This window comes from Homo sapiens, chromosome 8 (assembly GCF_000001405.40).
Source record: "Homo sapiens chromosome 8, GRCh38.p14 Primary Assembly".
NCBI classification, from domain to species: Eukaryota; Metazoa; Chordata; class Mammalia; order Primates; family Hominidae; genus Homo; species Homo sapiens.
The window spans coordinates 55,950,032-55,974,143 of NC_000008.11; the positions used below are offsets into that span (position 1 = coordinate 55,950,032).

At 41.3% G+C, this 24,112-nt stretch overlaps 1 protein-coding gene across 3 annotated transcripts in view; it reads left to right on the forward strand.

The window, feature by feature from the left end:
* Window positions 1–24,112, forward strand: part of LYN (LYN proto-oncogene, Src family tyrosine kinase) — a 134,335-nt gene that overhangs the window by 70,197 nt on the left and 40,026 nt on the right. For all 3 annotated transcript variants that reach the window (NM_002350.4, NM_001111097.3, XM_011517529.4), the window contains 6 exons: window positions 428–526; window positions 650–753; window positions 1,935–2,084; window positions 3,801–3,953; window positions 16,684–16,866; window positions 19,686–19,762. In NM_002350.4, coding sequence (NP_002341.1) covers window positions 428–526; window positions 650–753; window positions 1,935–2,084; window positions 3,801–3,953; window positions 16,684–16,866; window positions 19,686–19,762 — 766 coding nt within the window. The remainder of the gene's footprint in view (window positions 1–427; window positions 527–649; window positions 754–1,934; window positions 2,085–3,800; window positions 3,954–16,683; window positions 16,867–19,685; window positions 19,763–24,112) is intronic.

Genomic DNA, 24,112 nt, shown 5'->3' on the forward strand with positions numbered 1-24,112 from the left:
CTTTTTGACTGCCTTCTTTTATTTAGCATAATGTTTTCAAAGTTCATCCCTGTTGTAGCATCTCTCAGCACTCCATTCCTTTCACTGCTGAGTAATACTCCACTGGATGGATATTCCAGATTTTGTCCATTCATCAGTTGATAGGCATTTTGGTTGTTTCTACTTTTTGCTTTTACAAATAAGGATGCTTTGAACATTCATGTACAAGTTTTTGTGTGGACATTATGGTTTCATCTTTCTTGGGTATATGTCAAGGAGTATAGTTGCTGGGTCCTGTGGTAAGTCTATGTTTTCTTTATTTTTAATTTTTTAATTGATATGTAATATCTGTACATAAATACATATTTATGGGATATCTGTGATATTTTGATACATGCATGGAGTATGTAATCTTTTAGCTTCTTTTTGATGTGTATTTCTATTCTAGGCATGGAGAATGGTGGAAAGCAAAGTCCCTTTTAACAAAAAAAGAAGGCTTCATCCCCAGCAACTATGTGGCCAAACTCAACACCTTAGAAACAGAAGAGTGAGTCCTCATGTGTTGTCATCTTGGTGGCTTTATTTGCCACATTGGATTTCTTGTTAATATTCTTCACCTTTTTCTTGCCGTGGAACATAATATGCAGGAAATGTTGAAATGTCTTCACAGGTGGTTTTTCAAGGATATAACCAGGAAGGACGCAGAAAGGCAGCTTTTGGCACCAGGAAATAGCGCTGGAGCTTTCCTTATTAGAGAAAGTGAAACATTAAAAGGTAGGAAATTGTTCAAAGCCTCTTTTAAAACACTATTTAGGAAATTATTTTTAGAAACTATTCTAGAGCTACTCAAGGGGAAAAAAGGGCATATAGTATGCTCTGGTAGTAAAAGTTTTATGGTTTGATAACAAATAACAAACCTCAGTGATTAGTTGTGCTACTAAAAGTAATATAGTTGAGTGTGGTGGCTCACACCTGTAATCCTAACACTTTGGGAGGCTGAGGCGAGAGGATCACTTGAGTCCAGCAGTTAGAGACCAGCCTGGGCAACACAGCAAGACCCCATCTCTACAAGAAATACAAAACTTAGCCAGGCCTGGCAGCACATGCCTATAGTCCCAGCTACTCTGGAGGCTGAGGTAGGAAGATCACCTGAACCCAGGGAAGGGAGGCTGCAGTGAGCCGTGATCACGCCACTGCACTCTAACTAGCCTGAGTGACAGAGTGAGGCACTGTCTCAAAAAAAAAAGAGAAAAGAAAAGAAAAGTACTGTAGAAAGCACACATGATTGTGGCCAGTTCTTACCAGGCTTTGTTTGCTGAGCCTTTTGCATTATTATTTGAATAAATCCTGAAGTTTTAAGACAAAGAAAATTAGGCTGGGCGTGGTGGCTCAGGCCTGTAATCCCAATGCTTTGGGAGGCCGAGACTGAGAATCACTTGAACCCAGCAGTTTGATACCAGCCTGGGCAACATAGCAAGAGCCTGTTTCTATAAGAAATTAAAAAATTAGCCAGCTGTGGTGGTGCATGATCGTAGTCTCAGCTACTTGAGAGGTTGGGGTAGAAAGATCGTTTGAGCCCAAGAGGTGGAGGCTGCAGTTAGCTATGATTGTGCCACTCTACTCTAGCCTGGGTGACAGAGCAACAACCTATTTCAAAAAAAAAAAAAAGAAAATCAAAGTAACTTAAAAAAATTTAAATGTAGCTAAATAATAATTTTAAAAAAATTATCATGAAGAAAGAAAATGGTATGTTGGCAAGCTACACAGCAAACAAAATGCCAGCTTCATTTGTCAAGTAGAATTTTTATAGGACTTTTAAAATTATGCATTTTATACAAATTTCATAAATATATGTATTTTGCATATTTGTATCACAAAATGTGTACTGCAGTTGTTGTATAATGCAGATCTTATTTGTGAGATATAAACATTTACTTACACTTTTCCCCCCATAGGAAGCTTCTCTCTGTCTGTCAGAGACTTTGACCCTGTGCATGGTGATGTTATTAAGCACTACAAAATTAGAAGTCTGGATAATGGGGGCTATTACATCTCTCCACGAATCACTTTTCCCTGTATCAGCGACATGATTAAACATTACCAAAGTAAGTAAAAACTGAAGGTTCAACAAGACAAGATATATTTGTTATGATATGTATAAGACGTCAAACGCTATTTTTATATTAAAACTTTTTATGCATCGTATTTCTCTTAGATACAGTTGCAGGTCATATTCTATAAGTGGTTCTAAATTAATCTATAGTTAGGCCAGGCACAGTGGCTCACGCCTGTAATCCCAGCACTTTGGGAGGCCAAGGCAGGTGGATCACTTGAGGTCAGGAGTTCGAGACCAGCCTGGCCAACCTGGTGATACCCCATCTCTACTAGAAAAAAAAAAAATTAGCCAGGCATAGTGGTGCGTGCCTGTAGTCCCAGCTACTCGGGAGGCTGAGGCAGGAGAATCACTTGAACACAGGAGGCGGAGATTGCAGTGAGCTGAGATCGCGCCACTGCACTCCAGCCTGGGTGACAGAGCAAGACTCTGTCTCAAAAAACAAATACTAAAATAAAAGCAATTAATTAATCTACAGTTAAATACACAAAGTAAGATTTGATCCTTGTGAATAATTCTCCCAGTCCTTCCCACCTAGTACATGCTGTTTGACATTCAGTGTTCCACAATTACCAAGAGAAAAATATATATTGTCTTTGCATATATTTTTACAATGCATCTGAATATCTGGAATAGGAATGCAGATTTGCAGATCTGTGTTTGTGTGTGTGTGTGTAAAAGTAATGTATATTCTTGGTAAAGTCAAACGGATATAACACTACCACTGAAATATTTAGAAGTGGCAGGTCAATGTCCCTGTCTCCAGTGCCACTTTGCAGTCCTGAGAAGCCTGGGCCTGAGACTCTGGGTCCCTTTCCTGTGTAATTGGAGTCAGTTGAGTGGTTGTTGCCCCGGCTCCTTTCTATGACCTGCTCGAAGGGGATGCACATTATAGGTTTGCTTGAGTCCCAAAACACGGAGAGAGCAACGTGCTTCCGATTTTGTAGATTCTTGCCTTCCTCCGCCCTCCCATTCCTGTGTGCATCCGGCACATGCTGAGGGCTTGTGGTACTCTGGCTGTGTTCTGGGGCCTGGGGTCCAGTGGTGACATGACCGAGTCCCCACTATGGTGCCCTGTGAAGCTTAATGTGGGATTAGTAATCTGAAACCACATTTTATTAAGTGTGACAATCTGGCAGCCTGTGGTTGTCTGTTGGCTTTGTTGTTTTTGTTCATGTATGTTAGCAGTGCTGAAGAATACAATCAAGTATGTTTTAAATGGTTTTTCTTATATAAATTTCAGGCCGGGCTTGGTGGCTCACACCTGTAATCCAGCATTTTGGGAGGCCGAGGCGGGTGGATCACTTGAGGTCAGGAGTTTGTGACCAGCCTGGCCAACGTAGTAAAATTCTGTCTCTACTAAAAAATATAAAAACTAGCTGGGCATAGTGGTGGGCACCTGTAATCCCAGTTACTTTGGAGGCTGAGGCAGAAGAATTTCTTGAACCCAGGAGGCGGAGGTTGCAGTGAGCCAAGATCGCCCATTGCACTCCAGCCTGGGCAATAGGAGTGAAACTTCATCTCAAAAAAAAGAAAAACAAAAAAAACCCACAAATTTCAAAAGTCACAATTATGTCAAGGATGCATTTTAGTTCACAGACTGCGGCAGGTTGGACACTATAAGGCTAGTGTTCAACTTTTCTTTATAGACACAGGTAAAGTACAAAGTATTGCATTTCTTAACCTTCATTTTTCCCTTTCAAATTAGAGCAGGCAGATGGCTTGTGCAGAAGATTGGAGAAGGCTTGTATTAGTCCCAAGCCACAGAAGCCATGGGATAAAGATGCCTGGGAGATCCCCCGGGAGTCCATCAAGTTGGTGAAAAGGCTTGGCGCTGGGCAGTTTGGGGAAGTCTGGATGGGTAAGTGTGCGGCTCGGGGATCTATGTCCTTCTAGAGATGGTGACAGGAGAAGTAAAGGCTCAAGCCAATTTCGATCAGCTTCTGAGCCAGACACTAAATTATGTCAGAAGCATCATTTATTTTGTTTTCCTCTGTCCATTGGGGCTGAGAACTGGCCTGCAAAATCTATTTACTTCAGCTCTTGCTCTTTCTTGCGACTTAGTAATTCTCTTAATGTTTGTAAGGAGGGGAGTAATGGGTATTTATCTTGATCATCTGCCTATTTCTTCATGATTCCCTCATCGCCAGATTCTCTGGATGCACGGCTCAAGTGCAAGAAATTTGCTTCCATCTCTGGGAAAGGTTATCTTAGGGCTGGAACCCATTGGCTTAATAGAAAGCCTCAATGTATTACAATTTGAGGGTCACCAAGAAAGTTTCTAAGGTTCTCAAAGTCACGTCATGAAGAAATCATTTCTTAACATTAAGTATTGCCTTCTCAGGCTGGCAAGAAGTGCAGCAAGATTATAGCAGTGGCTTTTTCCAGGGGATTCTTTTCATCTACCTACTTTAAAAAAAAGTTTTTATAGTGAGCTGAGCACAGTGGCTCATACCTGTAATCCCAGCACTTTGGGAGGCTGAAGCAGGAAGATTGCTTGATCCTAGGAGGCTGAGAACAGCCTGAGCAACATAGCAGACCCTGTCTCTACAAATAAAGAAATTAGCCAGGTGCCATGGTATGTGCCTGTAGTTCCAGCTACTTGGGAGGCTGAGGTGGGAGGATCACTTAAGCCAAGGAGGTCGAGGCTGCAGTGGGCCGAGATGGCACTCCTGCACTCCAGCCTGGGTGACACAGTGAGACCCTGCCTCAAAATAAATAAATAAATAAATAAATAAATAAATAAATAAAAGTTTTCATAGTGAATGTGAACTTCTTTGGTGATAAGAGTTTTTTAGAACAAAAATGCTAAAGCATAACATTCTTTTAATGGTTCTAATGGAATGTGCGGTTATTTCTGGAAAGAGTAACATGTTAGGTCACACACATCTGACTGGGTCACTTTTTCTGTGTCAGCTTTGTTGAGTGAAAGCAAATGTGATTTCTAAATGGAAGGGGCAGATGGCTTTTAAACACTCTCCAGCCCCGGCAGAACAGAAGCTGCAGCCACGTGGACACGTCACCTCTGCATCCAGGTTTTCCCTCTACAGTCTTGGCCCCTGGGATCATAGCCTTGCTCACTTTCTCCTGTTGGCCCCTCTTGAGCAGAAGTGACTTTTAAACACGGCACATACTGAGCCAGCCTATCATTAATTAATTCTTACTGCACTGTAAGTCTTTCTGCACATATTTGCAGAATTCAGGTAAACTGTAATTACATGACTTCACATTCTCCGTGTGGATCGGCATGTGTCAGAACTGGCTGGCAGTGCAAATCAGGTCCTCAGTTTCTGTTCCACTCAGCAGATTCATGGGTGTGAGTGCTCACTCTGAATGTTGTCTCTTCCCATGCACACTCTGTTGTCTTCCTCCTCATTTCTCTGTGTGCTCTTTTTTTAATTAACATGAAATTCACCTGACATAAATTAATCATTTAAAAGGAACAATCCACTGGCATTTAGTACATTCACAATATTGTGTAGCCACCACCTCCATCTACTTTCAAAATGTTTTTATCATCCCGAAAGGAAACAATGTACCCAATAAACAATCACTCTTCATTCGCCCCACCCTCAGCCCCTGGCAACCACCATTCTTTCTGTCTCTATGAATTTAACCACTCTAGGTACCTCATATAAGTGGAATCATTTATTTGCCCTTTTGTGTCTGGCTTATTTCACCTAGCATAATGTTTTCAAGGTTCATCCATGTTGTAGAATGTATTAGAATTTTCTTGTTTTATGGCTGAGTAATATTCCATTGCATGACTATAACAGAGTTTGTTTATCTACTTATCCATTGGTGGACCTTTCAGTTGTTTTTACCTTTTGACTGTTATGAATAATGCTGTATGAATGTTCACATACAAATTATTATGTGGACACATTTTCATTTCTCTTGTGTATAAACCTAGGAGTTCAGTTGCTGGGGCATGTGATAAGCCTCTGTTGAACTTTTTCAAGAACCACAAAACTATTATATGCTCATTAAAAAAAGAATGACTTGGCTTCTTTTTTCCTCCTTTGATGTTTATATTTATTTTTTTCCAAATCTACAGAATGGGGCAGGAATAGTATAATGAATATTGTATACCCTTCACATAGATTCACCAGTTGTTAATATTGTCCTAATTTTCTTGTTCTTTTATATACGTACACATACATACATGTTATTATTGCCGTTGACCACCTGAGATTAAGTGCAGACGTGACTTGCTGAGTTTTGTGAAGAGTGTTTAAGCACCTAAGCAGTACTGTGTTCTCAGGGCACCTGTCAGGAGGCATAGTATTAGCCGGTCCTATTCTTAATGATGTTCTATTTGATTTTATCTACAGTAATCCACCATCACTTTTATTTAAAGTGATCCAAAAGTTTAAATGGATCATTTAAATTTAGTTTCTCCGTGGCAACTTTTTACTCCCTTTTGTAGTAAATAAATACTCTGTGGGAAGTTTAAGATTATGTAAATAGAACTTTCTCCAAATGGTTTCAGCACGATCTGTGAATTCTCTTCCCTCTTAGAAGCCGTCACTTCTCTATAAAGCTCCAGTCCTTTCTGTCCTCCTCCCTTGCTCCTTGAACATGTCTATTCCAACCCCACTGGCTCACGTCAAGATCCAGGGACTTCTGCGTTCTCTTCCCGGCTTCTCCGTCTGTTCACTGAGAGTATTGGCAGGAAAACCAGGATCGCAATCACACTTAATTGTGCTCTTAGTCCATCTGAGTACTTACTGTGACTTTGTGTGGGGAGAAGGAGGAGAAGACAGGAGGAAGGGAGAAAAGAGTGTACAGGCTCTACGGGCCCTGCTCTAAGTGTGTTTGCATTGACATTCTCACTTACTCATTGCTGTAGCACTGTGAATGAGAGGCATTACTGTGATCATTCGATAAACAACATCACTGAGAATCAGATAAGCAACTTACTCAAGGTCATTCAAGGCAGTGAGAGAGCCAGGCTGCTCTGGCATCTGGGAACCCTGGACTCAATTATTTGCTACACTATTTCTAAGCTAATTTGACTTCCCTAGCCTCAGTTTCCACATCAGTGAAGTGGACAAACTCCAATCTTCAGTTGTTCAAAGGAAGAATGAGATTATGCACCTGGGATGTTTCCCAGAGTCTGACTCCGTGTGCCCTATTTTTATTATTGTCACTTTTTTGTTTTTTATTCTAGTTATTGGAAGCTATATTTTGGTGTATTTTCCCCAATTTTAATCATAAAACAGAGCCATAAATAATCCAATTAGACTTTCCTATGGATATTTGCTGGCAAAGGAATTAACGTGTCTGTCATGAAAAGAAATGTAGAGGGAGGTTAATCAGGATGTACTGGTTCATCCTAAATCAGTAGCCCTGCATATAAAGTCATGGCTTGGAATCTTGTTCTAGCCTCTCCTGTTCAGCTGTGAAGCCAGGATAAAGCATCAAATTGCATGCTATTTGCTCCTGAGAGACAAGTAAAGTGAACAAAGTAATTCAAATCCAACTGCTTGAGTGAATTATTTCTTAGTAACACTGTTTTTAAAGATGCAGTTGTTGGCAGGGCACGGTGGCTCACACCTGTAATCCTGGCACTTCGGGAGGCCGAGGCAGGTAGATCACTTGAGCTCAGAAGTTCAAGACTAGTCTGGACAACATGGTGAAACCCTGTCTCTATCAAAAATACAAAAAAAAATTAGTTGAGCATGGTGGTGTTGCACCTGTGTTTCCATCTACTTAGGAGGTTGAGGTGGGAGGATCGCTTGAGCCTAGGAGGCAGAGGTTGCAGTGAGCTGAGATTGCGCCGCTGTCACCAAACTGGGTGACAGAGTGAGACCCCATCTCAAAAAATAAATAAATAAATATGCAGTTGCTGCCAGCCTGGATGCCTGGCATCAAAAGTGCTGCTGTCAGCTGTGGTGTCAGTGCGTCCTGCAGGGGGTGCCTGGCGAGGTTGGGAGCAGGAAGTCAGGAGCTAGGCAGCCTGGAGCACACACCTCAGCAGACCTGCTTACACCCCCTGTTCTGTCGTAAGGTGTAAGTCTGCACTAAAATTGTACACCTGGAGCTTAAGAACATTGGTCCTTTCTGGGATTGGGAAAACCGCCTTGCTTCTAATTCCAGATACACTGAATCCTCCAATTTCTCTTCTTTCCTGCACACAGCTTAATTTTAGAGAACTTTTGCTTAACATATATTCAGGTGGTGCCTAGGAGAAACAAGTTTAGAAGAGAAGAGAATGGAGTGTTGGAAAGTATCTGATTGTTTTATACAAATTTTTACTTTTTATTTAGACTGAAACAGGATAAAAATCTTGAGAAAATACATCACTTGAATAGATTTGCTCATTCCGTTTTTAAAAATTGTGGTTAAATACACGTGACATAAAATTTGTGTTTTAGCGATGTTTAGGTGTACAGTTCAGTAGTGTTAAATGCATCTACACTGTTATGCAACCAATCTCCAGACTCTCTTTTCATCTGATAAAACTGAGAGACTGTGTACTCTTTAACACCAACTCCCTGATCCCCTCTCTGGCAACCACCATGCTACTTTCTGTCTCTATGAATTTGACTACCTTAGGTACCTCAAATAATTAGAATCATACAGTATTTGTCTTTTTGTCTCTGGCTTACTTCACTTAGCATGATGTCTCCAAGGTTTATCTATGTCGTAGCATGTGTCAGAATTTCTTTGCTTTTTAAGGCTTAATGATATTCCTTTATATGCATACATAACCTTTTGTTTATTCATCTATTGATGGACAATTAGGTTGTTTCTACCTTTTGGCTATTGTGAATTTGCCACTGTGAACATGGGTGCACAGATACCTCTCTGAGACCTTATTTTCCATTCCTTTGAGTATAAATCCAGAAGTGGAATGGCTGGATCCTGTAATTCTTCTATCTCTAAAATTTGGAGGAACTGCCGTACTGTTTTCTACTTCGGCTGCACCATTTTACATTCCCATTGACCGTGTGTAAGTGTTCCCTTTCTCCACAGCCTCACCAACAGTTGTTATTTTCTGTTTTGGGGATTTTTTTTGTTGTTGGCTGGTTGGCTTTTGTGATAGTTGTCATTTTAATAGATGTGAGATGGTATCTTACTGTGGTTTTGATTTGTGTTTTCCTAATAATTAGTGACCAAGCATCTTTTCATGTCCTTCCTGGTCATTTCTACATCTTCTTTGGAGAAACGTATGTTCAAGTCCCTTTCTCACTTTTTAAATTGTGTTCTTTACTTGATTTACTAATAACGTTTTAAATGACAGAGGCAGTAGAGCCTCATCTAAAATGGGGTTTAATGGAACCTATCTCAGAGGGATTACATAACAATTGAAAGAAATTGTGCAGGTAAGTTCAATTGACAGCATTCAAAGCACTGTTATTAAATAATATCTTTAGTAAGAAAATATGTCACATTAGTGCAAAGGCTATACAGCAGAGGAAAGAAATTGCCCAGGGTTTCCCACTAAATAGAAGTTGTTTGTATTTTTGCTTTTTAATTTTTTTTATTTTGAGATAATTGTGGATTTACATGCCATTGTGAGAAATAATACAAAAAGGATAACATATGTCCACGCAAAAACCTGTACATGAGTGTTCATAGTAGCATTATTTGTAATAGCCAAAAAGTACAAACAACTGAAATGTCCATCAGATGATGAATGGGTCAATAAAATGTGGTGTATTCATACAATGGAGTATTTGGCAATAAAAAAAAAAAATGACCTGGCATACTTCAACATGGATGCCATGCTGTTTTATGGATGACTTATAATAACACTATGTTAAGTGAAAGAAATCAGGCCCAAAGGAGCACATATTATACTGTTCCATTTATATGAAATGTCCAGAATAGGCAAATCTAGAGTTAGAAAGTAGATGACTGGTTGCCTAGGGCTGGGGGGCCTGGGAGTATGGTAGGAGTGACTGCTAATGAGCATGGGATTTCTTTTTGGAGTCATGACAACATTCTAAAGCTAATTGTGGTGATGATTGTACAATTCTGAATATGCAAATAACTGATGAACTATATACTTTAAATGGGTAAATGACATGGTATATGAATTATATTTCAATAAAGCTGGCAAATATATAAAAGAAATGATACAGAGAGATCCCATGTACCATTTACCCAGTTTCCTCCAGTGGTAACATCTTGTAAAACTATAGTACAACATCACTACCAGGATATTGGCATTGATCACCGTTCATTTTTTAATTGTGCTTTTCTTCCAGTCTTATATTGAATGGAGGAAGGAAGGAAAAGAAGGGAAGGGGAGGAAAAGAAAATAGAAGAGAAAAAAATAGAAAATTTTGACTTGGGATCTTTTGCTTGTAGGGACTGAGTTTGCCTGTCAGTCAGCGAGCTCCTTCTTCACTCCTGAAATAATTTAAATATGTTGAATACACATAGCAGAGGAATATTGGGAATACAACCAAAAGAGTTGTGATTGGTGATTTTATGTTACAAATAGACTGAAGGATACTCCCTCTCCCAATTTTGAGCTGCTAGAATTTAGTTTTCTCTTACCCTTTTTAGTTTCTCAAAGGATAAGCAGGCCAGCTTTTCTCATTGATAGAAAAAATACAATTAAAATTCTATCACTGTTAACCCAGTAAGTTAATATTTTTGTTAAACATAAGGAATTGTTCATGGACAACCCATTTCATTTTATGGTCTGCATTTTTTTGGCTTGAAATGCAGTGAACAAATACTAGGAAGTGACCTGTTCTTTGGGGGAAGGGGCTGGGTGGGGATAAAAGAAAGAGGTGTCTCTGCTTCAAGCTGTTTCCTCTTGTTTGTGTGATCCTTGTGACATCTGACTTGGGTGACATGCTTCCTCTGTGGATTGTCCTATTCCCAGGGAATCAACTGGGCAGTGAGGCTAAGGACGATGTTTCCTCTGACTGCTTGGTCTATGAAGAGACCCTGAGGAAGGAAGGAAACTTATTTTACATTGAATTTTGCTTGATAAATTCTCATTTGAGCCAACTGCCTTGAGATTAATCACCAACCCACTTCCAAAATCAACTGCATGCATTTTTTAAAAACCACTCTCCCTTTTGTGGTACGTGGGCACTTTTTAGCAAGCCAGTCACAGCCGGAATTAGAGTGCTCTCAAGGTGCCACATCAGCTTTCTTTAACTGTGGCAAAGTGTCACTCCACAAGACGCTTTTTACTAGCTCAAAAAGTTTTTTTTAACATAATTTTTCATCTGTATTGACAACCCAAATCTCCATGACTAGGTTAATTTGAACCTTCAAACTACCAGAGAGTATCTTAGAAACCTATGATTTGATCCTTAGCACTGAATAAAAATCATGCCTTTAACAGAGGGATGAAAACCACCCTATTGTTTCAATATCACAGCCCTAAGAGATCATCTGGGAGCTGCCGCCATTCTTGGGCCATGTTTGACACAGCTGCTTTATCTACCACTCACCTCAAACTCCTTATCAGTATTTAAAATATATGCAGCTGCAATATTTCCTGATGACTTCCCCCCTAACCTTGGAAAGCGTTTTTTTTCCTTCGTCCTTTACTCATACTTTTCTATTTATAAGTCTCCATGAGCTTCATTGTTTTTATGATGGCAAAAGGGAAATGGTTTTGTTTCTTTAACTTTTATTGCTATGTAATGTAACAAGCAGACAGAAAATGCAAACACAAATATCTAATTTCACAAATAATTACAAAGCAAAAACTGGTGTGTCGACCTCTGAGAGGAAACTTGCTAGCCCCAGAAGCCCCCACCGTCCACCCATCCCCTCCCACCCACACCCTACCTGTCCCCCAGAGACAACAGCTATTCCGACCTTCCTGATGGTTTTCTGACTTCTTCTTAATTTTGCCACTTTTGTATATGGGGATGTATGCATCCCCCCAAAATATAGCTCAGTTTTGCTGTTTTTGTACTTTGTATGAACGAATTATACCAAATGTGCTCTTTTACGTCTTGCCTCTTTTACTCAACGGGTTGGTGAGAGGCATCCATGCTTTTGGGTGTGGCTACAGTTCATTCATCTTCATTCCATGTGGTGTTGGTAAGATACATGTGGCTTTTGGGTATGGCTACAATTCATTCATCTTCATTCCATATGGTGTTGGTGAAATGCATCCATGCTTTTGGGTGTGGCTACGGTTCATTCATCTTCATCCTATGTTGTGTTGGTGAGATGCATCCATGCTTTTGGGTGTGGCTATTGTTTATTCATCTTCATGCCATATGGTGTTGGTGAGATGCATCTGTGCTTTTGCGTGTGGCTACAATTCATTCATCTTCAGTCCCTATGATGTTGGTGAGATGCATCCGTGCTTTTGGGTGTGACTACAGTTCATTCATCTTCATCTCATGTCGTGTTTGTGAGATGCACTCGTGCTTCTGGGTGTGGCTATGGTTCATTCGTCTTCATCCCATGTCGTGTTGGTGAGATGCATCTGTGGCTACGGTTCATTCATCTTCATTCCATATGGTATTGGTGAGATGCATTCATGCTTTTGGGTGTGGCTATGGTTTATTCATCTTCATGCCATATTGTGCTGTGCTGCATGTGTTTTCAAGATATACGATCATTTATCCATTTATTTCACCATTTACTGATGAAATTGGAGTTCATGTTAGTCCATTTTGCTTTGCTAAAGGAATACCCGAGACTGGGTAACTTATAAAGAAAATGTTTATTTGCTTTACGGTTCTTCAGATTTTATAAGAAGCATGGCACCTGTCTCTGCTTCTGGTGAAGCCTCAGGAAGCTTCCATTCAAAAAGGAAGGCAAAAGGGAGTGAGCATGTCACACAGTGAGAGCAAGAGAGTGACCAGAAGAGGTGCCATGCTTTTAGACAACCAGCTCTCTTGTGAACTAATAGAGCGAGAACTCACTCTTTACCACGGGGATGGCCCCAAGCCATTCATGAGGGATTCATTCCCATGACCCAAATACCTCCCTCTAGTCCCCACCTCCAACACTGGGGATCAAATTTCAACATGAGATTTGGAGAGGACAAACATCCAAACTATATCAGAGTTTTTCCCAGTTTGGGCTGCTATGAACAATGCGCTGCACATTTTTGTGCCTCATTTTTGTGCTGATGCAAGCATGCATGAGCTCTAGGGTGAGTGGGAGTGGATTTGCTGGATCGTAAGGTGTATGAATCTTCAGCTCTTCTAAGTTATTGCCAACTTATTTTGCAAAGTGCTGGTCCCAGCTTAAGATTCTCACCAGCAATATGCCAGTCCCCACGTCCCCTTTCCTGACTAGCAGAGCTGTACTTAGAGAGATGTGGGCCCCAAGGCAGCACAGGCAGTGGGTGGTTATCCGGAAGGAAGTGTGCACTCAGCATCCTTCATGGACACCTTGGATGTTGTCACAGAAGCTCTGCAATTGAATTTCAGTGATGCTCAGCAAAGAACACAGAATGAGGCCTAGGGCAGCTGCTCCAGAGTCCCTCCCAAGGGGCAGGTGCTCATCAGCACTTGATATTACCAGACTTTAAAAATTTTTGCTGAGCTCGGCAGTGGTTTCTCATGACTTTATTTGCATTTCTCTGGTTGCTAATAAGATTGAGTACTTTTCACGTGTTTATTACTCATATGAATTTCTTCTTTTGAAATGCCCTTCCAAGTCTTTGCCTATTTCTTCTGATTTTTCTTATTGATTTGTAAGAATTCTTTCTATATCCTGGATGCAAGTTCCTTGCAGTTATATGTATCATATAGTTTATGTATTTTCATCTATTTTATATCATGTATTTTCCTGCTGTGATTTGCTATGGATATGCTCATGTAACTTAGGGTTAGAGTTAGGGCTGGGGTTAAGGTTAGGGTTTATAAACGTTAAAAAATTTATAATAAAACCTTTTTGATTTAAATGTAATATTAAAAGGCTTTTGTTGGTGGAATGTACTTTACAATAACTCTTAAGATCTACAGAAAAGGCCATATTGCTTGTAATTATGCATTTAGATGTCAGAACAATTTAATATATTCATAATTCCATTATTTTAGGTAGGTGGTAGCTTTTTAAAAGGACCTAGGATGGTTTTTTTTTGTCAGCTTTATGTTACTATCTTCTCCATATGTTCTAACACTTATCTTGTACTGCATTTTTCTTTTTCTTTTCTTTTTTTGTTTTGTTTTAGAGAAGGGGGTCTCACTATATTGCCCAGGTTAGTCTTGAACTCCTGGGCTCAAGCGATCCTCCTGCCTCTCAAAGTGCTGGGATTACAGGCATGAACCACCTTGTCTAGCCTCATTTTTCTATAGAGCACTGCAAGCTCCTAAGTATTAACCAAAGTGGAATACAAAATAAAACATTTTAATAGAGGAATCAGTCTTAATGACCAAAAGAAACATCATTGGATAGGTTGACTGCTAGCTATAAATAAACTTTTTATTATTTGTTTGAAGGCTTGGAAATAGATGTATAATACATTTCTTTATTATTTAAAAAAATCATTTTTTAAAAAGTACATACTTGGCTGGGCACAGTGGCTCATGCCTACAATCCCAGCACTTTGGAAGACCAAGGTGAGCAGATCAGCTGAGGTCAGGAGTTCAAGACCAGCCTGGCCAACATGGCAAAACCCTGTCTCTCCTGGAAAAAAGAAAGAGAAGAGAAGAGAAAAGAAAAGAGTACATACTCATTGACAAATCCAATCAGAATAGAAAAGAACAAGAGAAAGTAGAAGTCACTCCAAATTCTACCAGCCAGGGATAATCACTGTTGTTTTACTCAGCAGGCTTCCAGTCATCTTTCTATGCTATTCACATACAGATACTCTTGCACCCTAAAAAGGGGACCGTCCACTCCACGTCACCTTTCCTTAGGTGGATAGGGCAGGTGCTATCCAGCTTTTGCGCACCAGGCAGCAGGAACTGCAGGAAGATTTGCAGTGACACCAGCAGCTATTACTCCCTTCTCCCCATTTTTTTTTTAACATTTCCAAGAGAAAGATGGAAGCAGAAGAGAGGACAGGAAGGAAGAGTATGATTATTAATATTTCTGCTTTGCCAAATTACTGAGAAAAGGCTTTCCCAAGAGAAAGTCAGGATTAAAGTGCTCAATCCCAGTCCCAGAAGGGTGGTGCCTCGGGGGAACTATACTAAGGAGTCAGTATTGCCCAGAGCGTGTTCCATGCGGTGTAAGAGGCTACTTGAACAAGTGTTCTGAGGTCAAGAAATTGTGGGAAACGCTGGGGTGAACAAATGCAGGCTTTTCCCCTGAAGGCCTCCCAGGGCACCTGCTGCATCTCCTGGGTGGGGGAGGAGTGGAGGGAGTGGCTCCCTGTCCTTTTAGTGGGGGATCCTTTTTCACTAACAGTCACCCAAGTCCAGTTGTCTGCAAATTTTGGGAAGTGCTTGTTTGACTCTAGCATATTGTACTTTAAAGTTAGTATATATAAGTAATTTTTATAAAGAACACCTTTTTTAAAGAAAATGTGGTAAATAGTTAAAGATATGGTGAACAAAATTAAAATCGCTCGTAATCACACCATTGGAAATAACCAGCATTTGATATATTTTGGTGTCTTTTCTTCCAGACTGTTGTTTATATGTGTGTGTCTGTGTATCTATAAAATATGTCTGTATTTTAAAATGGGGATTATAATGTGAGTGTATGCCTGTGTGTGTATGTATATGTATGTAAGGGATTATAGCATATATAGAGTTTTGTTTTGTTTTTTTTGGTCTTGAATAAAGAACATTTTATTATTAGAGAAAAATATTAGTCCTCGGCTGGGCACAGTGGCTCATGCTTATAATCCCAGCACTTTGGGAGGCTGAGGCTGGCGGATCACTTGAGGTTAGGAGTTTGAGACTAGCCTGGCCAACATGGTGGAACCACGTCTCTACTAAAAATACAAAAATTAGCCAGGTGTGGTGGTGGGCACCTGTAAACCCAGCTACTCAGGAGGCTCAGGCATAAGAATCGCTTGAAACCAGGAGGTGGAGGTTGCAGTGAGCCAAGATCGTGCCACTACACTCCAGCCTGGGCGACAGAGCAAGACGTAGTCTAAAAATAAATAAATAAATATTAGCCCTCATGGTAGAGTGCCAATAAAAACGTTTTTTTGCTACTATTTCATAGAAACCTTTTGATTTTTGAATAATTTAAACATTTTTTGGTAAAGAAAGAAAATTCCTAGATACTTTTCATCTAGCCTCCCCTAATTTTATCACTACATAGTGTTTTAACTCAGGCTTTTTCTATCTGTAATTAAATTTTTTGCTAACTCTGCATCTACAAAGTGAAGTTTTAATTTTTTTTTTTTTAATTGAGACGGAGTCGCACTCTGTCACCCAGGCTGGAATGCAATGGTGCGATCTCAGCTCACTGCAACCTCCACCTCCTGGGTTCAAGCAATTCTCCTGTCTCAGCATCCTGAGTAGCTGGGATTACAGGCGCCTGCCACCACACCCAGCTAATTTTTGTATTTTTAGTAGACATGGGGTTTCACTGTTTTAGCCAGGCTGGTTTCGAACTCCTGACATCAGGTGACCCACTCACCTCGACCTCCCAAAGTGCTGGGATTATAGGTGTGAGCCACCTCCCCCGGCTAGATTTTCTGTTTTATAAAGCATGCCCGCCTTCTTTTTTCTTCCTAGGTTACTATAACAACAGTACCAAGGTGGCTGTGAAAACCCTGAAGCCAGGAACTATGTCTGTGCAAGCCTTCCTGGAAGAAGCCAACCTCATGAAGACCCTGCAGCATGACAAGCTCGTGAGGCTCTACGCTGTGGTCACCAGGGAGGAGCCCATTTACATCATCACCGAGTACATGGCCAAGGGTGAGTTCCTCCCACTGCCCAGAGCTTGCAAGGGCTTCAAACTCAAAAAGTAAAATGTGTAAGTGTTCAGAGGTCACTCAACTAGTTTAATTATCAAACAGTATACCCACTACCGAAAAATCAGGAAATATGGGAAGACAAAGCAGTTTATAAACCTAATCACCAGAAGTAATCCATGTCACAGAATTGAAATCTAATCCTCCTGTTTTCTCTGCATCTGCCTGCGTGTACCTATTGCCCTGAGAATAGTACCCCATATCTAGTAGCCCCCAATAAATATTTATCAAATGAATTACTATGTATTTCAAAAAGGAATTTTTGAAATACATATGCTTAAAATGTGAAGAGTTCCCAGAATTCTAATACTACAGATTTAGTACGGATTGTTCAGTACCAAATTCCTCTTTCATTTTTTTTTTTTTTTTTTTTTTTTTGGAAACAGAGTCTCACACTGTTGCCCGGGCTGGAGTGCAGTGGTGCAATCTCTGCTCACTGCAACCCCTGCCTCCCGGGTTCAAGCGATTCTCCTGCCTCGGCCTCCCTAGTAGCTGGGACTACAGGCACGTGCCACCATGCCCAGCTAATTTTTTGTATTTTTAGTAGAGATGGGGTTTCGCCATGTTGGCCAGGCTGGTCTCGAACTCCTGAGCTCAGGCAATCTGCCTGCCTCAGCCTCTGAAAGTGCTAGGATTACAGGCATGAGCACCCAGCCTCTATTTGTTCTTTAGCGTTATCTAATATTCATTTTCCTTTTCAGCATTATCTAAGTGTTCAGGGTGTCACTTTTAAATATTAATGTTTTTTAAAACTTGTGGAGGTTAAAGTCCTATGTAATCATAGAATTGCTGGAGAATAGACTTCAAGCAATCAATTTTTCTTCTACTGTGATCACCTTCATATACAAGACTTTGAATCAACATCCTTCTTCCTTTGTTCACCTCCAGTTCAGGAAACATACTAATAAACTGCCAAATTATTTTTTACGAAGTCCTCAGAAGTAATGAAGAAACATAAGCAATGATCCAGGATTAACAATCATCTCATGCACAATGGAGATGATAGTATGATGTCATAGCTGAATAGATTCAAAAGATGAATATTACATTTTCTTATTTAATATCTGTGAGTATTTCAAAATATCAGTCACTCAGAGTCTTTCCAAACAATGGCATTGTTTGTTTTAAAGCAAACAAACCAATTAGCTCTTGTGGCTTGGGTTGCCATATATAGCCCAGAAACCAGGCTCAGGGCCAGACACCTTATAGGAGTTCAGTAAATATTGTTGAATTAATTAACTTAGAGTATTCCTAATGATAGGTATAAATATGAGTTTTCCTATGTAACAATGCCTAATATATATATATATTTATTTTTTTGAGACAGAGTCTCACTCTATCACCCAGGCTGGAGTGCAGTGGCACTATCTTGGATCACTGCAACCTCTGCCTCCCAGGTTCCAGTGATTCTCCTGCCTCAGCCTCCCAAGTAGCTGGGATTACAGGTGCCTGCCACCATGCCTGGCTAATTTTTGTATTTTTTAGTAGAGACAGAGTTTCACCATGTTGGCCAGGCTGGTCTTAAACTCCCGACCTCAGGTGATCTGCCTGCCTTGGCCTCCCAAAGTGCTGGAATTATAGGTGTGAGCCACCAAGCTTGGCCAACAATGCCTAATATTTATTGAGCACTTACTATATGCCAGACTGCTCTTGGTGCTTTCCATGGGTGATCTCACTTAGTCTTTTCAGCAGCCTGAGGGCTAAGTACTATTGTTCTGTGTCATAGATGAGATAGCATAACGTTTACTGAGCACTTGCTACCTGTCAACCATCATGGTATGTGCTTTGGATGCAACCTTTGATTCCAACCCCCCAAAACTGTAATATAGCCTCTAGTACATGCCCATTTTACAGAGACCTAGATGAGGTAAACAACTTGACCAAGGCTACCCGTAAGGCTGGTACTTAAAGTTCTAGGGGAAAAACAGGTCTTGCTTTAGAGATGAAGCCATAGGAGGTTGGAGAGTTTGTTCAGCAGCACACTCCTTCTTAGGTAGGTTTCCACTTTTTTCCAAAGCACAGTTCACTCATCAAATATTCTTTGAGGCTGGGCGTGGTGGCTCACACCTATAATCCCAGCCCTTTTGGAGGCCAAGGTGGGAGGATTGCTTGAGTCCAGGAATTTGAGACCAGCCTGGGCAACATGGTGAAATCCTATCTCTACAAAAAAAAGAATTAGCTGGGTGTGATGGCATGTACCCTCAGCTACACAGGAGGCTGAAAGTGGGAGGATTGCTTGAGCTTGGGAGGCTGATGCTGCAGTGAGATGTAATCATGCCACTGCGCTCCAGCCTGGGTGACAGAGTAAGACCCTATCTCAGAAAACATTCATTGAGCACCTACAGTAAGTGCCAAGTTCTGTGCTTTTTGCTGAATACAGATGGGAGTGAGCCTGGCCAAGTGTCTGCAGAGGGCAGGCCTTCCAGTGAGCTCGCTAAAGATTGGGAGGTGGCAGTGAGTGGATCATGGTGGCAAGTACTCTGAAATGCATGGTTCTCAGACACCTGTAGTGAGAAAAGTGGTATCCACCCACATTCTTTCTCACCTGGAGCACATGCCATGTTTCACATCAGGTCAAAGGTAACAGATTAGAGGGGACTGCGTTTGACCAATGCCAGGAAAAGGCTTTATATAACCATACAGAATTGCAAAGCCAATCATTTTGTGGGGAGTTCCCCTGTAATAGTAATGATGATGTGAATTTTGTTTGGATTTTTTCTTGTGTGTTTGGAATGCACTAACTTGTTCTTTCTTTCTCCATAGGCAGTTTGCTGGATTTCCTGAAGAGCGATGAAGGTGGCAAAGTGCTGCTTCCAAAGCTCATTGACTTTTCTGCTCAGGTAACATATTCAAAAAGCCCCGTGTGCACGTGCATTTGCAAAGACTTCCCTGCGTCAAATTCATGAAGGAGTTATTGTTCCAGGGAGAAGGAATTTCTGTTGAATGTTTCCCAGCAGCAGTTATGAGAAAAAGACCTTCCACAATACAATTCTTGGAGATAGTAATAGGACATTCACATGGATTGTGTGTACGTGTTGAGTTTTGACCTGGATATCATCTTCTATAAACCAAGTCAACCTCTTTATGTTCATTTCATAAGTCATAGAAACAGTGCAGCTGAATCAATCACTTTCTCAGCATTTGGGAGAGGCAGTTCCATGCTATGTAAGCACAGCAGCTTTTAAATGATGCGTATGTTTTATTTAAGTTACGAATCGAATGTATGGATACTTTTAAGTCCTCTGTATTCTTGAAAACAGAGGAACTATGTCACTTTCCTGCTCCTCTTCTCGCTCCTTCTTGTTGGATGTGCCATCAGGATTCTGTGAAATATTCATTTGTACTATTTTTAGTACTAGCCTAGGAGTTGCCTGTTTATTTACTTTGGAATCACATGTTTCCTGAAGTGTATTTAAGAGCAGAAGCAAGTTATCCAGAAGCCCCACAATGTGCCCAAAATATCAAGGAAATGCACACTTGAATGATGCCAGCTGCTGGCTTTTACTAGTTTCATTGTGTCCATTAGTAATGTTCAGCAGTTTGCTTGCTTGTTTCTCAGTATTGGCAATCGGTGGTTTCATGAAGCCCAGTGTATGTAGCAAAAGAGATTTATAGAAGTTCTAGGGAAGACTGGTCCCTATAGTCTTCCTTTTTCACTGCCACTTCTTCCCTCACACCCTCTTTTAGTTAGGAAATTGCTACGGCCTTCTTGGGAATACGAGATCCAAGGAATGCATGAGTACAGAGGTGAAGCACCTCACCTAAGGTAGGGCTGGACACAGGTTCTGTAATAGAGCATCGTGGGCTAAGCTGGCATTCAGCACCTGGAGACTGGAGTTTGTGTTCTGGCTCTGCCACTCGATAGCTATACCGCTTCCATTTCAGAAGCCCTTTGCCTATTTGGGCTACTTTATTCACCTGTAAAACAGAATGGTAATTCCTGCTTTAAGGAGATGTTGTTGAGAGTCACATCAGACACAGATGTTGTTGTGTCACATGCTTGGCACGGACACAAGCACCTCAGAGCCTGCTGGTGGAAGCTGGGAAAACCCAAGGGAGGGCAATGCCCATCCTTCCAGTAAAGGTGTGTGATGGGTGAGTCACAGTGCTCAGGCATCCTCTCCACCTCCGGGACTTGGCAAGCCTAACAGGTTCCTCATCTGAGTTGGAAATTCAAGTGTGCCCTGAAATGCCAACATCTAATAAGAAAGAAGCATAATTGCTGTGGTGGAACAGAGGGGCAAGGAAAGGACCCAGCAGCCCTGCCTTTTTAGCCCTGTCCTCAAAGTCTATGCTGGCCCCTGGGAGGCTCCATGGGATTCCAAGGTTTCCAGAACTATAGTTTGAAAACCACCTCTCTGCAGTAAGAGGAATAGGTGGGGTTGGGCACAGCTCTAGAACCCGTGTAGAAAACAGATCAGGAAATGGAGAAAGCAGAAGTCTGATAAACTTGGGCCATACTTACACGGATCAATGAGGCCCTCTACTCAGGTGGTGATTTGGGTGTCCCCATGGGTCAAGAGACTTGAGGAGTGTAACAAAGGTTTGTCACACTTGTACAGGGCTATGGAACATCGGGACACATGGCCTGGAGGGCCTGAGTGGTCACAGCCGTTCCATCTGCTGGGGGTCTGATCTGTACCCACAGTTCTTTAGAGTAGAAGTTACACACATTGGGTATGTACTGTACCCGGAGAATGACTTTATTTTGTCACATGGGTATTTTGTATTGGGTTTTGCATGGCTTATCTTGTAAGACTTTATCTTGACATAGTCAAAGCTTTTAAGGTCCAAGTCAAAGCCTCTATGCTGAGTCTTTAATTTAGTGAATTACTACCATTACCTCGAAAAGTAATTTTTCTAACCTCGAAGAGTAATTTTTCTAACCTAGAAATGAATAGGGGGAGAAGCTACTTTCTAGACCTTCATAGCTTACGAGGAAGATTACCACAGAGCCTGGCATTGACTGTGACTGTTGTGCTGTGGATTCCAGGGGGCTTCAGTTGACTCTCCTGTCAACTGATGGGGCTGAGCCCCCTCGGTGACAGGAGGGCCTGGGGGCAATCAAGGTCGGCACCAGTGGTCTCCATCCAAGCCAGTTTACCAAATCCAGCCCGTGCCAGGTGAACTCATGTTCACAGGTCCAGGGTCTCTTTCCTAGCAGTGGCCCCTTGGTGGAACCCATAGTTCATCTGGCTCAAGTGCATGAACTGCTCAGTGTCACTGGGAGAGTCACGGGTCAGCAGCAGCCGGCAGGACCCTAAGTATGTTCATTCAGCACAAAATTCATTTTCCTTACAACTAAGCACTGGCTCCATTTGAGTTCATCTTTGCTCAAGCTGCAAACCTCACTCAGACTCTTTCCCAGCCCTTCCCTCAAGGTGGCGCTGGTGAGACCACCTGGTCTCCATCCTTAATCATTATCTGCTTCTTGTACCTGTGGCTTTTCTTATTATAATACAGATAATTTGAGAAAGGGGTCTTACCCTTGGCAACAAGGAGTAGGGCCTGTACGCTTCAGCTTCAGCCTGAAATCCCATACCTTCCACTTCTAGTTTCTGCTCACTGCGCCTGCTCCCTCGTCCGCCTGGGATGCCCTCACTGATGACCACTGCTACCCAGTGCTCCTCCTCCTCCTTCACACACCTTTCTGAAATGATCTGTCTGTGCCAAGAAGGCCATCTCTGCATTATCTTACCTTTCCTTCTCTATCATGTGCCACTAATTAAATCTATCACTTTTCCATAGTGCATAACATGACAATAGAATTATTATTAAAGCTGCCCCACGGTGACAGAGATCCCTGGGGCCCAGATACTTCGATAATCCAACCTTTTCTATACCTTCCCCCCACTTTACTATTTAGGGTGGAAATTTAGGGATAAAGCAGAAGAGGAATTACAGAAGTCCATTTGCTGTGTCAGCTCTAACTAAACAGTTAGTAGGCTGTGCGATAATGATGCGACTTGCTGTCTTCCATAACCGTTGTCAATAGCGTCAGAGTTGGGAAATTGAATGTTCACAAGGGGTGGTTAAATTCAGCAGATTGTCACAATGAGAGATTGGTCATTGGGAGTAGAAATAACCCAGTTTACTTAATCCTAGCCCTAGAAGAATAAGGGAAACTGTGAGGGGCAGAGTTGGGACTTTTCCCACCATCTGTATCTGGCCTCTTCTTCCCGCTCCCCACTACCCACTTCCCCATGCCCTACTCTCCCCTCCGCATTCCCCTGTCACCCATTGAGACAGAAAGTGGCTAAGTGCACGTGACAGCCTCACAGTTCATGTGAGAGCTGATTTCATCACTTCCTGTCTCAGAATGAGTTCTGAAAGACTTGTCTGAGCTCAAGTGTAATAATCCACACTCTCCAACCATCCATAGCCCATTCAACATAGATCAAGAAATCCTGACTACAGCAGCTTTACCCACTGCTTTTCTCTTTGTATTAAATTAAGCAATTTAGTGCTTTTTGTGCTGAAATAGGAAAATACCTCTTTGGAAAGGAAGTTTGATACTTTCAGAGCAGAGAGACTTTGCATAATTCCCTTGGCTTTTAGGCCCTATGTCAGAGAAGAAAAATGAACTTGGAAAGAAAAGGGGTTAAAACCAGTGGGGATTTCCTTCACCAGAAGCTGAGATGGAATCATAGACATGTCAAACTGAGAGGAAAGAGCAGTGAAAAATTTACAGTTGCAGTTTGGAGAGCAAATAAATCATCTTGTAATTCAGACCAAGTGAATCAAAGCATTTATTACTCTTTGGTGGCGGTATCTCTGAAGTGCAAAAATTACTAAAAATGGAACAATTGTTTGTGAGTTAAATGTCAGTAAAAACTGCAAAATCAAGCCAAACAAAGTGGCATGCACCTATTGTCTCAGCTACTTGGGAGGCTGAAACGGGAGGATTGCTTGAGGCCAGAAGTTCAGGACCAGCCTGGACAATGTGGCAAGAATCTGTCTCTTTAAAACAAAACAAAGCAAAACAAAAAACTTGCAAAATCAGAGTTGTTGTAATTATCATGGCAACAAGTAACATTTATTTTAGCTTCTTCTGGTTGATACAGCACTTCTACCTCCATTATCTAATTTGAGCCCAACAGCCTTGAAAGCATATATTTTGTTGTTTAGTACCTCTTACAGATAACGAGGTAAACTTGGACTTGGCCAAGGTTACTGAGCTAGTATGCGGA